Below are 15865 nucleotides of genomic sequence, written 5' to 3'. Positions count from 1 at the left end.
TCCCGTTATGTGGGTGCATCCTATGTTACTTAACCAGGCCTGCGTGGCTCCTCCTAATGAAGATGAAAGAATGTCTTTGCCCACGTGCATTTTCACATACATGTGGAGGGTAAGTACCTGGAAATGAATCTCTGGGCTGAAGGGTACATGTATCTGTAACAGGTCATTTGATAGGTTCACCCCAATTGCTCTCCAAACGGGCTGTGCTGATTTTTACTCTCTGGTAGCATAGGAGGAGACCCCCTGTTTCCATGTAGCTTTGCTACTGTGCGATCTCACTATGTTTATTTTATTGTGCCTGGTTACCAATGAGGTCGAACATTACTAGTCATTCATATTCCTCTTCTGTGTTGGTACAAACCTTTTGACCATTTTCCTCCTGTGCTGTTTGTCATTTTCTTGTTTATTTGTAGTAGCTCTTTATTTATTGTGGATCCACAGTCTGTCATACATGTCACAAACATTCCCCCCAGGCTGCTTTTGTCTTTTGACTTTGTATGTGGTATCTTTTTTCAGGAAGAAGGGTTTAGTGTTTTGCTTTCTGTTAGTCTTTCTTCATTGTATATTATGGCCTTTGGGAAGGTTTATCCAGGACAAAATGTTTATAAAAATAGAGCAGGCAGTTTATAAAAGAAATGGATGAAGGGAGAGACTAACGTCAGAGCTTCCCTCTTCCCCACTACATCCTGTAGAACGGGGCTTTAAGGAGCTATTTCTGCTGTTCTTCTCCCTCCCATATTAAATAAAATGATGTATATTAAATAAAAACAGATGTTTTGTAGATAAGAAAACAGGTGGAGCCATTGTGGCTCCAGCCGGTTGCGCGGGCCCTCGGACCCTCAGGGAGGCGAGGGTTCGAGGGCACGAGTTCGAGGCCAACCTGGTCCACATGGGTTGAAAAAAAAAAAAAAATTAAAAAAAAAAAAAAAGGCCGGGCGCGGTGGCTCACGCCTGTAATCCCAGCACTTTGGGAGGCTGAGGCGGGCGGATCACGAGGTCAGGAGATCGAGACCATCCTGGCTAACACGGTGAAACCCCGTCTCTACTAAAAATACAAAAAAAATTAGCCGGGCGTAGTGGCGGGCGCCTGTAGTCCCAGCAACTCGGGAGGCTGAGGCAGGAGAATGGCGTGAACCCGGGAGGCGGAGCTTGCAGTGAGCCAAGACAGCGCCACTGCAGTCCAGCCTGGGCGAAAGAGCGAGACTCCGTCTCAAAAAAAAAAAAAAAGAAAAAGAAAACAGGTCTGTGTGTGTGTAAGTGTGTGTGTGTGTGTGTGTGTGTGTGTGTGTGTGTGTGTGTGTGTTGGGGCTGTGTGGACGACAGGGAGGTAGGGAGAGGTAAAAATGAAAGCCATCTGCCAAGGAACCTCATCTCCGCAGCCTCTGACTCAGTAACTTTCCACTCAGTAACTGAAGGAAACTGCTGGAAATGGGGAGGAAGCTGTTAATGCCTGGAGCTGGCCACCAGGGCATCGGGCAGATTCCTGGATACCCGGGGGTGAGGGTGTTTACAGCTACTCAAGGACAAACTCGGTGGCCTGGACACTCAGTGCCTTCAGGAAGTCCTTGGTATTTAATTGCCTGGGAAAATGCATCTGTTCCCATGTGCGAAATGGGGAATCCACAGCAAAGGTGTTTGTGTGCCTCACTGCACGGAAACTGCATTTCGCGTCTGAATTTTATGTCAAGAGAAAAGCTTAAAAGTACAGAACTCAGCCAGGCGCGGTGGCTCACACCTGTAATCCCAGCACTTTGGGAGGCCGAGGCAGGCGGATCACTAGGTCAGGAGTTCGGGACCAGCCTGGACAATATGGTGAAACCGCATCTCTACTAAAAATACAAAAAAAATTAGCCGGGCGTGGTGGCACGTGCCTGTAGTCCCAGGTACTCAGGAGGCTGAAGCAGGAGAATCGTTTGAACCCGGGAGGTGGAGGTTGCAGTGAGCTGAGATCGTGCCACTGCACTCCAGCCTGGGTGACAGAGCGAGACTCCATCTCAAAAAAAAAAAAAAAAAAAAAAGAAGAAAGAAAAAAATGCAGCACTGACGCATGCTACAACATGAGTGAACCTCGAAGATGTGATGCTGAGTGAAAGAAGCCAGACACAAGAGGCCACCTAGCACAGAATTCCATTCACATGAAATGTACAGCACAGAGACAGATGGTAGATTAGTGGTTGCCCGAGGCTGGGGGAAGAGGAGAGCAGGGAGTGTTTACTTAATGTTTGTGGAGTTTCATTTTTGGGTGATAAAAATGCTCTGGGCTGGGCATAGTGGCTCACGTCTAATCCCAGATTTGGGAGGCTGAGGCAGGAGGATCATTTGAGCCGAGGAGTTTGAGACCAGCGTGAGTAAAATAGCAAGGCCCTGTCTCTATGAAAAAAATAAATAAATAAATAAATAAAAATTAAATTCAACTAGCCAAGCATGGTGGCTCCTGCCTGTAATCCCAGCTACTTGGGAGGCTGAGGTGGGAGGATCATTTGAGCCCAAGAGTTGGACGCGAGGCTGCAGTGAGCTGTGATCACACCACTGCACTCTAGCCTGGGAGACAGAGCGAGACCCTATCTCAAAAAAAAAAAAAAAAAAAGAAAAAAGGATCGGGTGAGTGGAGGGAACTTTGAGGACAGGCCAACAGGTGCAGCAAACCACCATGGCACACATATACCTACGTGACAAACCTGCACGTTCTGTACATGTATCCTGTTTTTTTTTTAGAAGAAATAAAGAAAAAAAAAGAATTGTACATGTTGCTAACACATAAAATTGATGTATCTTCTGTGCTCAATGACTCAGTCTAGTGGCGGAAAAAATGACCCACATTCACGGTGTGACGTATTCTACAGTAGAAACTTATAGCTAGTGTCATTAGTCATCAATAATTTATCTATGCTAATTTTATGCTTTTTATAAATCTGAACTGTCAACTGTGTGTATGATTTCTTCCTCTTATCATAGATTTCATATTAAATAAAATGTAATACATCAGTATTTAATCTCCTAAATTTGATAACTATGCTATACATATATATATATACATATCTATATGTGTGTATATATATAAAAGTATCTTTGTTGATGGCATTAGAGGACACTGAAGAACAACATCCAAAAGATTATTATTTCTTTTTTTGAGACAGAGCCTTGCTCTGTGGCCAGGCTGGAGTGCAGTAGCGTGATCTCGGCTCACTGCAACCTCTGCCTCCTCAGTGCAAGCGATTCTCCTGCCTCAGCCTCACAAGTAGCTGGGACCACAGGCATGTGCCACCACACCCAGTTAATTTTTTTTGTACTTTTAGCAGAGACAGGGTTTCACCATGTTGGCCAGGATGGTCTCGAACTCCTGAGCTCAAGTGGTCTGCCCGCCTCAGCCTCCCAAAGTGCTGGGATTACAGGTGCAAGCCCCTGCGCCTGGCCTTCTTCCTCTTCTTCTTCTTTTTTTTTTTTGAGATGGAGTTTTGTTTTTGTTACCCAGGCTGGAGTGCAATGGCACGATCTCGGCTCACTGCAACCTCCGCCTCCCGGGTTCAAGCGATTCTTCTGCCTCAGCCTCCCAAGTAGCTGGGATTACAGGCATGGGCCACCACGCCCGGCTAATTGTGTTTCTTTGTTTGTGACAGAGTCTTGCTGTGTCGCCCAGGCTGGAGTGCAATGGCGTGATCTCGGCTCACTGCAACCTCTCCCTCCCGGGTTCAATCGACTCTTCTGCCTCAGCCTCCCAAGTAGCTGGGATTACAGGCATGCGCCACCACGCCTGGCTAATTGTCTGTTTCTTTGTTTGTGACAGAGTCTTGCTGTGTCGCCCAGGCTAGAGTGCAATGGCGTGATCTCGGCTCACTGCAACCTCTGCCTCCCAGGTTCAAGCAACCCTCCTGCCTCAGCCTCCCGAGTAGCTGGGACTACAAGCGCCTGCCACCACGCTTGGCTAATTTTTGTATTATTAGTAGGGACAGGGTTTCGCCATATTGGCCAGATTGGCCTCAAACTCCTGACCTCAGGTGATCCACGTGGCTCGGCCTCCCAAAGTGCTGAGATGACAGACGTGGGCCGCTGCACCCAGCAGTGATGGTTTATTGTATGTGTCAACTTGATTGGGTTAAGGGGTGCCCACATAGCTGGTAAAACATTATTTCTGTTTGTGTCTGCACAGGTGTTTCAGGAAGAGATACAAAATACAAAAGTTAGCCAGATGTGGTGGTGGGCACCTGTAGTCCCACCTACTTGGGAGGCTGAGGCAGGAGAATGGTGTGAACCCATAGGTGGAGGTTGCAGTGAGCCGAGATCGTGCCACTGCACTCCAGCCTGGGCGACACAGCAAGACTCTGTCAAAAACAAAAACAAAAAAACAAAAAAACAAATACAAACAAACAAACAAAACCCCATCACAGTAATGATGGAAGTAGTTTTGGAGGTGGCAAAAGCTGTAGTAATCTTGGCCATAACAGCAATCAGTCTTCGAATTTTGGATCCATGAAGGGAGGAGGATTTGGAGGCAGAAGCCCTGGCCCCTATGGTGATGGAGGCCAATATTTTGCCAAAACATGAAACCAAGATGGCTATGGCAGTTCCAGCAGCCCTGGTGGCCAGGGCGGTGGCAGAAAGCTTTAGTTACTTTGGGGAAATGAAGCTTAGCCAGCAGACAGAGCCAGGGAAATGACAGGGAAGCTCAGGTTACAAACAGACTTGTGAACTCAGCCAGGCACAGGGGTGGCAGGGCCTGTCTGTTATGAAGAAGGTGTGTTTTTTGTGTTTGTTTGCTTTTTTTGAGACGGAGTCTCGCTCTGTCGCCCAGGCTGGAGTGCAGTGGCGCGATCTCGGCTCACTGCAAGCTCCACCTCCCGGGTTCACGCCATTCTCCTGCCTCAGCCTCCTGAGTAGCTGAGATTTACAGGTGCCAGCCACCACGCCCGGCTAATTTTTTTTAATATTTTTTAGTAGAGACGGGGTTTCACCGTGTTAGCCAGGATGGTCTTGATCTCCCAACCTTGTGATCCGCCTGCCTCGGCCTCCCAAAGTGCTGGGATTACAGGCATGCGCCACCGCGCCCGGCCGTGTTTGATTTGAGACAGGCTCTCACTCTGTTGACAAGGCTGGAGTGCAGTGGCATGATCACAGCTCACTGCAGTCTCAACCCCTGGGCTCAAGCAATCCTCTCACCCCAGCTTCCCGAGTAGCTGGGACCACAGGTGCGTGCCGCCATGCCTGCCTATTTTTTTTTTTTTTTTTTGAGACACAGTCTCCCTCCATCGCCCAGGCTGGAGCTCACTGCAAGCTCTGCCTCCTTAGTTCATGGGAGTCTCCTGCCTCAGCCTCCCGAGTACCTGGGATTACAGGCGTGAACCACCACATCCGGCTATTTTTAAAATATTTTTAGTCGAGATGGGGTTTCACTATGTTGGTCAGGCTGGTCTTGAACTCCTGACTTCAAATCATCCACCCACCTCAGCCTCCCAAGGTGCTGGGATTACAGGCGTGAGCCACCACCCTCGGCTCCTGATTTTTTAATATTTTTTAAAGACGAAGTTCCACTATGTTGCCTAGGCTGATCTCAAACTCCCTGGCTTAAGCAATCCTCCCGCCTTAGCCTTCCAAAGTGCTGGGATTGCAGGCATGAGCCACCATACCCAGTGGAAGATGTATTGGAGACAATACTCATGTATATGGACAAAAAACAAAAACAAAAAACTCCAGGACTGTATTTGTGACTAATCGTATAACAGGTTATTTCAGTTTCTCTTCTGTGGAAAGTGCAAAGCATTCCAACAAAGGGTTTTAATGTAGATTTTTGTTTTGCACCCATGCTGTTGATGGCTAAATATAAGTGTCTGATGATAATGTTGAATAAAAAAAAAAAAAACAAAAAAAAAACCTTAGAGGAAGTTTTGCTATAAAGGGAGAAGAGAAATAGTCGCTAGAGGGGGGAATGAGATTGGAGGGTGTTTGGTGGAGTGGATGATATCACAGCAGGTTTTTGTTTTGTTTTGTTTTGTTTTGTTTTGAGACAGATGCCCAGGCTGGAGTGCAGTTGTGCGATCTCGGCTCACCGCAACCTTTGCCTCCTGGGCTCCAGCGATTCTCCTGCCTCAGCCTCCCAACTAGCTGGGACCACAGGCGCCCGCCACCATACCCCGCTAATTTTTTGTATTTTTAGTGGAGACTGGGTTTCGCCATGTTCGTCAGGCTGGTCTCAAACTCCTGACCTCAAGTGATCCGCCCGCCTCAGCCTCCCAAAGTGCTGTGATTACAAGTGTGAGCCACCGCGCTCAGCTCAAATCATCAGTTTTATGCTGATGGGGATGATGCAACAGACAAGGGGAAACCGGAAGATGCAGGAAAGAGATGGGAGAGGGATGGAAGGCGCAGCTGGGATTATCCAAGCACACGAGAGGCATCTGGGAGGAAGGGGTGCGTGGGCGCCAAGGCAGGTGGTGGTGGTGTTGGTGTGGGGAGTTCCCAAAAGTCCCTACTCCAATGACTTCCTTCTTCTCAGTGAAATGGGAAGCAAGAGTAAGTCTCAGTCAGCTGAGAGTGACAGCCACTCAAGTTGGTGCCCTTAAGACCACGCGGGTGGTGGAGCCTGTGGAGTGGAGATCACCTGTCTTTTATTTTCTTTTAAGACATGGGGGCCAGACGTGGTAGCTCATGCCTGTAATCCAAGCACTTTGGGGGGCCGAGGCAGGCGGATCATCTGAGGTCAGCCTGGCCAGCATGGTGAAACCCCATCTCTACTAAAAATAAAAAAGTTAGCCGGGCATGGTGGTGCACGCCTGTAATCTCAGCTACTTGGGAGGCTGAAGCAGAGGCCGCAGTGAGCTGAGATCGTGCCACTGCACTCCAGCCTGCGTGACAAGAGCGAGACTCCATCTCAAAAAAAAAACAAACCAAAAAACTTAAAAATACTCTGGGGTGGCAAACGAAATGTGGTGGCTGGATGGAGCCCTCAGGCCATGTGTTTGCAACCCTGGTGCAACTGCACTAAAGCACAGGCCAGAGTCAGTTCTGGGCTTTTGAGGGGCTCCAGGGTTTAGAGAACAGAAAGTCGAAGAGGAACCTGAGAAAGCCACCAAACAAGGAAGCTTCTTGTTTTTGTTTTTGTTTCTTTTTGAGACAGACTCTCACTCTGTCTCCCAGGCTGGAGTGCAATGGCGCGATCTCGGCTCAATGCAACCTCCACCTCCCAGGTTCAAGCAATTCTCCTGCCTCAGCCTCCCAAGTAGCTGGGATTACAGGTGCCCACCACCATGCCTGGCCAATTTTTGTATTTTTAGAGACGGTGTTTCTTTTTCTTTCTTTTTTCTTTTTTTTTTGAGACAGAGTCTTTCTCTGTCGCCAGGCTGGAGTGCAGTGACGCCATCTTGGCTCACTGCAACCGCTGACTCCCTGGTTCAAGGAATTCTACTAACTCAGCCTCCTGAGTAGCTGGGATTACAGGCACGTGCCACCATGCCCAGCTAATTCTTTGAATTTTTAGTAGAGATGGGGTTTCACCATGTTGGCCAGGATGGTCTCCATCTCCTGACCTCGTGATCCGCCCACCTCGGCCTCCCAAAGTGCTGGGATTACAGGTGTGAGCCACCGTGCCTGGCGGTTTTATTTGTTTTTTGAGACAGGGTCTCACTCTGTTGCCCAGGCTGGACTGCAGTGGCACTATCATGGCTCATTTCAGCCTTGAATTCCCAGGCTTGGGTGATTCTCCCACCTCAGTCTCCTGGGTAGCTGGGATTACAGGTGTATGCCACCAAGTCTGGCTAATTTTTTGTGTTTTTTGTAGAAATGGTGGTTTCAAGGCCGGGCGCGGTGGCTCACGCCTGTAATCCCAGTACACTGGGAGGCCGAGGTGGGCAGATCATGAGGTCAGGAGATCGAGACCATCCTGGCTAACAAGGTGAAACCCCGTCTCTACTAAAAATACAAAAAAAAAAAAAAAATTAGCCAGGCGTGGTGGCGGGCGCCTGTAGTCCCAGCTACTTGGGAGGCTGAGGCAGGAGAATGGTGTGAACCCAGGAGGCAGAGCTTGCAGTGAGCCAAGATCGCGCCACTGCACTCCAGCCTGGGCAACAGAACGAGACACAGTCTCAAAAAAAAAAAAAAAAAAAGAAATGGCGGTTTCATCATGTTGCCCCGGCTGGTCTCAACCTCTTGGGCTCAAGTGATCTGCTCACCTCTGCCTCCGAAAGTGCTGGAATTACAGGTGTAAGCCACCGAGCCCAGCCTCAAGGAAGCTTCTGAACTGTTAGGGGGAGCTCCTGCTCTAGGCCCAGCAGCTTCCAAGGCTTTAAAGGCATAATCCCATTTAATCTTGTAATGACGCTGTGAAGTGGCTCTTGGTATTAGCATTGCAATTCTGAGTATTATCTCCTCTTTGTAGATAAGGAAGATCATTTGCCCAAGGACACACAATGAGCAGATGAGACTGGAACCCAGATTTCTAGAGTGCTAGACTCTGTGTCTTCCCATTCACTTTATTTTTTATTTTATTTTATTTTATTTTTTTGAGACAGAGTCTCACTCTGTTGCCTAGGCTGGAGTGCAGTGGCACGATCTCAGCTCACTGCAACCTCTGCCTCCCAGGTTCAAGTAATTCTCGTGCCTCAGCCTCCCCAGTAGCTGGGATTACAGGCGTGTGCCACTATGCCTGGCTAATTTTTGTATTTTTAGTAAAGATGGGGTTTCACCGTGTTGGTGAGGCTGGTCTCAAACTCCTGACCTCAAGTGATCTGCCCACTTTGGCCTCCCAAAGTGCTGGGATTACAAGCGTGAGCCACCGTGGCCAGCCATAAAATTTTTTTTTTATTATAAAATATCTGGGCTTTTTTTGTTTTTTGTTTTTTAGTTGGGGCCTTGCTCTGTCACTCAGGCTGGAGTGCAGTGGTGCAATCTCAGCTCACTGCAGCCTCCGCCTCCTGGGCTCAAGTGATCCTCCTGTTACGGGATCTTTGGGGTGTTGCTTTTCTGGCCAGAAACCTCTGTGGCTGCAGTGCCTTTGCCCAAGTTCTTGTCCTGTGTCCAGGAAGAATGAGGTACACAGACAAGTGAAGGGTGAAGAAGATGAATAGGAGCTTTATTTAGTCTTAGAACAGCTCAGAGGAGACCGTCAGTGGGCAGCTCCTCTCAGTAGGCAGGTCACCCCATCGAGTGTTCAGCTCTCAGCAGAGATGAGGCCCTGAAGAGGGTGGTTCCTCTCGGCAGGCAGGTCATGTAGGCGTCTCTGCAGGTCTCTGAAGCTCTCAGTAGAGAGGGTAGCTCCTCTGTGCAGGTGGTAATCCCATTGTCTCTCTGTCCTCTGCCCTCTGCCCTGCTCTGGTGGAGCCTGGGGCTTTTATGGACCTCAGAGAGGAGGAAGTACGTGCTGGTTGGTCCATGGGCTGCCATGCGTGGGCCCAGAGGAGGTACAAGTCCCCACTCTTGTCTGTGGGGTTGGCAGCCTGGCCCCCAGCCTTCAGGCCCTCCCTGGCAAGAAGGTGGGGCCTTACTAGGGACCCCCCACCAACTTCTGCCCAGGAATCCGTCTGCCTCCTGCTGCCATTCATGGCCCCAGGACTGGACCCCAACCCCGATCCCAGATCAGAGCTGGCGCTGGGAGAGAAGAGAGGCCAGGCAGCAGGAGAAGACACCCAGCAGTCTGCAGAGATTGGGGGGGCCTTCCCGGCCTCTGAGAGTGCAGGCTGCAGAGAGGCCCAGGTCCTCAGCCTCAGAGGGCGGCCACAGCTGCATCCGGGGAGCTCCTGCCCTGCCAACTCGGAAGGGGTGGGGCTCCCACTTGTCCCCGGCTCTTGCTCACTCTGTGGAGCTGGAGGCCTAGGTTGGCAGCCATGGGGGCAGCTGCAGCTGCACCCGGGAGGGCAGACCCTACCTACTTCTGGCCCCTGCAAGAGCACAGGAAGGCTCAATCCACAGTGGCGGTTTGGGCGGCTGCAGTGGCATCTGGGGAACTCCCACCACAGCTCAGAAGGGGCAGGGCTTCCACCGGCTCCATGGAGTGTGTAGCCCCAGCCGCACCTCCCTGCTGCAGCCGGTGTAATGACAGCAGCCACTGCCATCACTCCTGCCTCAGTCTCACTAGTAGCTGGGACTACAGGCGTGCACCACCACGCTAGGCTGATTTTTAAAATTTTTAGCAGAGACAGGGGTCTCCCTATGTTGCGCAGGCTGGTCTCGAACTACTGAGCTCCAGCTCGGCCTCCTGCCTCAGCCTCCCAAAGTGCTGGGATTACAGGTGTGAGCCACTGCGCCAGGCCTAAAATAATTGTTTTGGTTTTTCTTTTTGTTTGAGACAGTTGTCTTCTGTTCTGCACACGCAGCAGGAAATTGGATCTCTACCTCACAGCATACTCAAAAGAGTTGAAATATAACCTATTTGTAGTTATCAGCGACCTGGGTGAAGACACACCTGGCAGAAGGGTGTGGTAGCCTCATTAAACATGAGTGAGAATGAATTCCAGGTGGAGATGGGAGAGATGATTTATTTGCTAGCTGGGGAAAGAAGAGGCAGGCCCAGCCCAGAGGGAGAATGAGAGGCGGAAGATGACATTCGCTGCATGCCTGACACCTGCCTGAAGTTAACCAGGGTCAGCCCGGCCTTTCCTCCCCCGGGATGTCTCCAACTCGGCTGACAACATCCACTTTAATTAATACAGCACAGCAGGACACTTCCTGTGTACAGCTACACGCTAAGGGCCAGGAGTAGCCTAATGTCCTTGAGCCCCAGAGAAACCATCGTGTGTTCAAGCATGCTGTCTGGAAACTTAGAAAGGGCTCATGACTCCTCTCTGCTTTCACACCCCACATCCCATCCAGGGGAAATCCTGTTGACCTTCAAAATGCACCCGAAGTCGGACCCCCCAAAGGCTGGACGCCGTGGCTCACGCCTGTAATCCCAGTACTTTGGGAGGCCTAGGCAGGCGGATCACCTGAGGTCAGGAGTTCGATATCAGCCTGGCCAACATGGTGAAACCCCGTCTCTACTAAAAAATACAAAATTAGCCAGGTGTGGTGGCACACGCCTGTAATCCCAGCTACTCGGAAGGCTAAGACAGGAGAATCGCTTGAAGCTGGGAGATGGAGGCTGCAGTGAGCCGTGATCGCACCATTGCACTCCAGCCTGGACAAGACACAGCGAGACTCCACCTCAAAACAAAAACAAAAACAAAAACAAAAACAAAAACAAAGTCTGAACCCCCAGAGCTAGTCTAGCCATGATCATTTCTCACCTGGAAAATTGCAGTCACCTCCTCGCTGCTTCTGCCCTTGTCCCCAACAGAAAGGTCCCCATATGGCAGCAGAATCCTTTGACAGAAGTGACATGATGTCATTCTCCTCCTCAAATCCCTTCTGTGGCTCCTGCCACACTCACTAAAAGACAACATCTTCACCATGACTCACCAGCTCCCTGTTCTCTGTCTGACCTCATCTTCCACCCGCTCTTCCTCTGTTCCATGCAGACTGTGACTGGCTTTTTTTGTTTTTTTTTTTTTTTGAGACGAAGTCTCGCTCTGTCACCCAGCCTGGAGTGCAGTGCCGTGATCACGGCCCACTGCAACCTCTGCCTCCCGGGTTCAAGTGATTCTCCTGCCTCAGTCTCGCCTCCTGAATAGCTGGGATTACAGACGCCCACCACTACTACACCCAGCTGATTTTTTTTTGTATTTTAGTAGAGACGGGGTTTCTCCATGTTGGCCAGGCTGGTCTTGAACTCCTGACCTCAGGTGATCCGCCTGCCTCGGCCTCCCAAAGTGCTGGGATTACAAGGGTGAGCTACCGTGCACAGCCAAGGGTATTGGTTTCTTATTGCTCCTGTAACAAATGACCATACACTTAGTGGCTCCATAGGAGACAGATTTATTTACTACCTTACTGTTCTGGAGGTTTTTTTTTTTTTTTTTTTTTACCACAGGGTCTGGCTCTATGATGCAGGCTGGAGTGCAGTGGCCTGATCATGGCTCACTGCAGCCTCAGCCTCCTGGGCTCAAGCAGTTCTCCTGTCACAGCCTCCCAAGTAGCTGAGACTACAGGTGTGTGCCACCATGCCCGGCTAATTTTAAAAAATTTTTTGTAGAGACTCTTCCTATGTTGCCCAGGCTGGTCTCCAACTCCTGGGCTCAAGCGATCTTCCTGCCTCGGCCTCCCAAAGTGCTGGGATTACAGGCATAAACCATTGCCCCAGGCCCCCAAAATGGGTTTTACAGGGCTAATATCAAGGTGTTGGCTGGGCTGCATCCCTTCTGGAGACTCTAGGGCTTCTCCTGGAGGCTCTCTTGCCCTGTCCAGCTTCAGGAAGCTGTCCACATTCCTCAGCTCAAGGCCCTCCTTGCATCACTCTAACTGAGGCAGGAGAATAGGGTCTGGAGCCAGAGAGCCTAAGGCCAATTCATGATGACTGGATATCAGAGGCTACTCCCCTTTCAAACCCTCCTTTTTCTGCATGGCTGTTGAAAAATGAAAGTACCTCTGAGTGGTCCCCTCCTGTAACCAATCAGACTGGTCCTGAGCCTACTCTTCATTCTGATTGGCCCCCTCCTGCAACCAATCAGACTGGCTGCGGGCCTATGCATCATTCTAATTGGTCCTCTCCCACAACCAATCAGACTGGTTACAGGCCTACTCTTCATTCGAATTGGTCCTCTCCTACAACCAATCAGACTGGTCACAGGCCAATGGGAAACTTCCAGAGGGTATTCAAATCCCCAAAAATTCTGTAACGGACACTTTTCAGCTGCTAGCTTGAGTCCACTCCCACCCTGTGAAGTGTGCTTTCCTTTAAAATAGATCTCTGCTTTTGCTGCCTTGCTTTGTGCGTTTCCTCTGCCTCCCGGGTTCAAGCAATTCTCTGCCTCAGCCTCCTGAGTAGCTGGGATTACAAGCACGTGCCACCACACCCAGCTAATTTATATATTTTTAGTAGAGACGGGGTTTCACCATCTTGGCCAGGCTTGTCTTGAACTCCTGACCTTGCGATCCACCCGCCTCGGCCTCCCAAAGTGCTGGGATTACAAGCGTGAGCCACCGCACCTGGCTGAGTATTGCAATTCTACATGAGATTTGGGTTAGGACACACACCCAAATCATATCACGGGGATTTGCTGTTTCCCAGGTTGGTCTCAAACCCCTGGGCTCAAGGCATCCTCCCGCCTCAGCCTCTCAAAGTGCTGGAATTACAGGCATCAGCCACTGTGCCCGGCTGAACTATATTCTTTCTTTTTTTTGAGAAAGAGTCTTAGTCTGTCACCCAGGCTGGAGTACAATAGTGTGATCTCAACTCACTGCAACCTCTGCCTCCCTGTTTCAAGCGATTCTCATGCCTCAGTCTCCCAAGTAGCTGGGATTACAGGTGTGTGCCACCATGTCCAGCTAATTTTTTGTATTTTTTTTTTTTAGTGGACGTGAGGTCTCACTATGTTGGCCAGGCTGGTCGCAAACCCCTGGCCTCAAGTGATTTGAAAGCCTCCGCCTCCCAAAGTGCTGGGATTAGAGGCATAAGCCACTGTGTCCAGCCTTATACACTCTTTCTTTCTTTTTTTTTTTTCTGTCACCCAGGCTGGAGTGGAGTGGTGTGATCTCTACTCACAGCAACCTCTGTCTCCTGGATTCAAGTGATTCTCGTGCCTCAGAGTAGCTGGGACTATAGGCACGCACCACCACAAGCAGCTAATTTTTATATTTTTAGTAGAGATGGGGTTTCGCCATGATGGCCAGGCTAGTCTCGAACTCCTGGCCTCAAGTGATCCGCCCGCCTCAGCCTCTCAGAGTGCCTTATACTCTTTCTTTCTTTCTTTTTTTTTTTTTTTGAGACGGAATCTCACTCTTGTAGCCCAGGCTGGAGTGCAATGGCGTGATCTCGGCTCACTGCAACCTCCACCTTCCAGGTTCAAGCAATTCTCCTGCCTCAGCCTCCTGAGTTGCTGAGATTACAGGTGCCTGCCACCACACCTGGCTAATATTTTGTAATTTTTTTTTTTGTAGAGACAGGGCTTCACCATGTTAGCCAGGATGGTCTCGATCTCCTGACCTCGTGATCCGCCCGCCTCGGCCTCCCAAAGTACTTGGATTACAGGTGTGAGCCACCGCGCCTGGCTGCCATATACTCTTTCTCAAGACCTCTTCTCTTGAGCCTAGGGATGGTTCCCCTCTTGCTTACTCAACGACAACAATCCAGCCACTTTCCTCTCTTGCTTCTCTTCTGGAATCTAGAAATCCAGATCATTCCCATCAGCACATGAACCAGCTGTTTGATCTTCTCTGCTCTTCTGACCTTTCTATCAAAAGAATTGACTTTTAGCTGGGCATGGTGGCTCATACCCATAATCTCAGCACTTTGGGAGGCTGAGGTGGGAGGATCACTTGAGCTCAGCAGTTCGAGGCTGGATTGAGCTACAACGGTGCCTCCACTCCAGCCTGGGTGACATAGTGAGATCCTGTTTCTACAAAACATTTTTTTCTATTTTGAGACAGAGTCTCGTGATGTCACCCAGGCTGGAGTGCAGTGGCGTGATCTTGGCTCACTGCAGCCTCCGCCTCCTGGGTTAAAGCGATTCTTCTGCCTCAACCTCCCTAGTAGCTGAGACTCCAGGTGCCTGCCACCACACCCGGCTAATTATTGTATTTTTAGTAGAGATGGAGTTTCACCATGTTGGCCATGCTGGTCTTGAACTCCTGACCTCAGGTGATCCGTCCGCCTCAGCGTCCCAAAGTGCTGGGATTACAGGCTTGAGCCACCATACCCAGCCTACAAAACATTTTTAAAAATAATAAACCAGGCATGGTAGCACACGCCTGTAGTGAGCCATGATGTCACCACAGCACTCCAGTCTGGGTGACAGAGTGAGACCCTGTCTCAAAAAAAAAAAAAAAAAAAAAATTAACCCTGTACCTGGCCGTAATGAATCAACAATTGGAAGCTGTGTTATTATAAAGACGGGTGAACATATGGGCCCCTTTGCTGGTCCCCATCTGGCCTGGCTCTCCTGTTCTCCACCCTGCACACTCATGCCTGGGAACCTGCGTCTCCTCTCAGCCTCCCCAACGGCGGCCCAACCCACATGGCGTTTGATCTGCCCACTTCAGAGCCTTCACCTCCGGCCTGCAGCCCATCAGAGGCGGCTGGATCCCGGCCTCCTCCCCACATGGGCCTTTGAGGATGGGATGAAAGAGGCTAGGCTGAAACCAGTGTGAATGGCCAAACGGGGAACTCAGGAATCCCTGGTGCTACGCCCAGGAACAGAGGTGCGCGGCGGGGAGGCAGAGCAAGGGATGCTTCTTGGGGCTTGCTGGCAGTGCCAGAATGACCTGGGCATTTACCGACCACCTCCTGTGTGCTCAGGCCTGTGCTAGGTGATGCTGAGGACATAGTGGTGACTGGCCTGGCCGTCAGAGGGCTCACAGGCCAGCGGAGCAGATAGGCCAGTGCCCCAAGAGCAACAACCTAGTGGGAACAGGGCTGGGATGGGAAAACCTAGTTGATGCAGTCAAGAAGGGCTTCCTGGAAGAGGAGGTTCTTAAGTTCTTCACAGAGTCTATGATGCCCATCTCAACCTACCTCTTCAGCCACATCTGATGACACTTCCCCACAATCCCTTGAATCCAGCCACCCTGTTCCTTCTAATTCTTTTCATTTTTGTTTATTTATTTATTTTGAGACAGAATCTCGCTCTGTCGCCCAGGCTGGAGTGCAGTGGCGTGATCTCGGCTCACTACAACCTCCACCTCCTGGGTTCAAGCAATTCTTTTGCCTCAGCCTCCCAAGTAGTTGGGATTACAGGCGCCCGCCAACATGCCCAGCTAATTTTTGTATTTTTAGTAGAGACGGGGTTCCACTATGTTGGCCAGGCTGGTCTTGAACTCCCGACCTCAGATGATCCACCCGCCTTGGCCT

General features: G+C 50.2%; 1 non-coding gene across 1 annotated transcript, besides 2 other annotated features; it reads left to right on the top strand.

The window, feature by feature from the left end:
• The first annotated feature begins 794 nt into the window (after nt 1-794).
• SNAR-E (small NF90 (ILF3) associated RNA E) lies at nt 795-914 on the top strand. Its single transcript, NR_024258.1, has one exon. It is a non-coding gene; the product is annotated as a small NF90 (ILF3) associated RNA E (small nuclear RNA).
• Nucleotides 9580-9639: an enhancer, noted in NCBI's record as "active region_14850". NCBI's record gives its function as "activates an Ori minimal core promoter by ATAC-STARR-seq in GM12878 lymphoblastoid cells {active_cell/tissue: GM12878}" and the evidence as "EXISTENCE:reporter gene assay evidence [ECO:0000049][PMID:35858748]".
• Nucleotides 9810-9929: an enhancer, noted in NCBI's record as "active region_14849". NCBI's record gives its function as "activates an Ori minimal core promoter by ATAC-STARR-seq in GM12878 lymphoblastoid cells {active_cell/tissue: GM12878}" and the evidence as "EXISTENCE:reporter gene assay evidence [ECO:0000049][PMID:35858748]".

The sequence above is a fragment of the Homo sapiens genome, chromosome 19, assembly GCF_000001405.40.
Source record: "Homo sapiens chromosome 19, GRCh38.p14 Primary Assembly".
Classification (NCBI taxonomy): Eukaryota; Metazoa; Chordata; class Mammalia; order Primates; family Hominidae; genus Homo; species Homo sapiens.
This window is presented reverse-complemented; position numbering and strand designations above follow the sequence as displayed.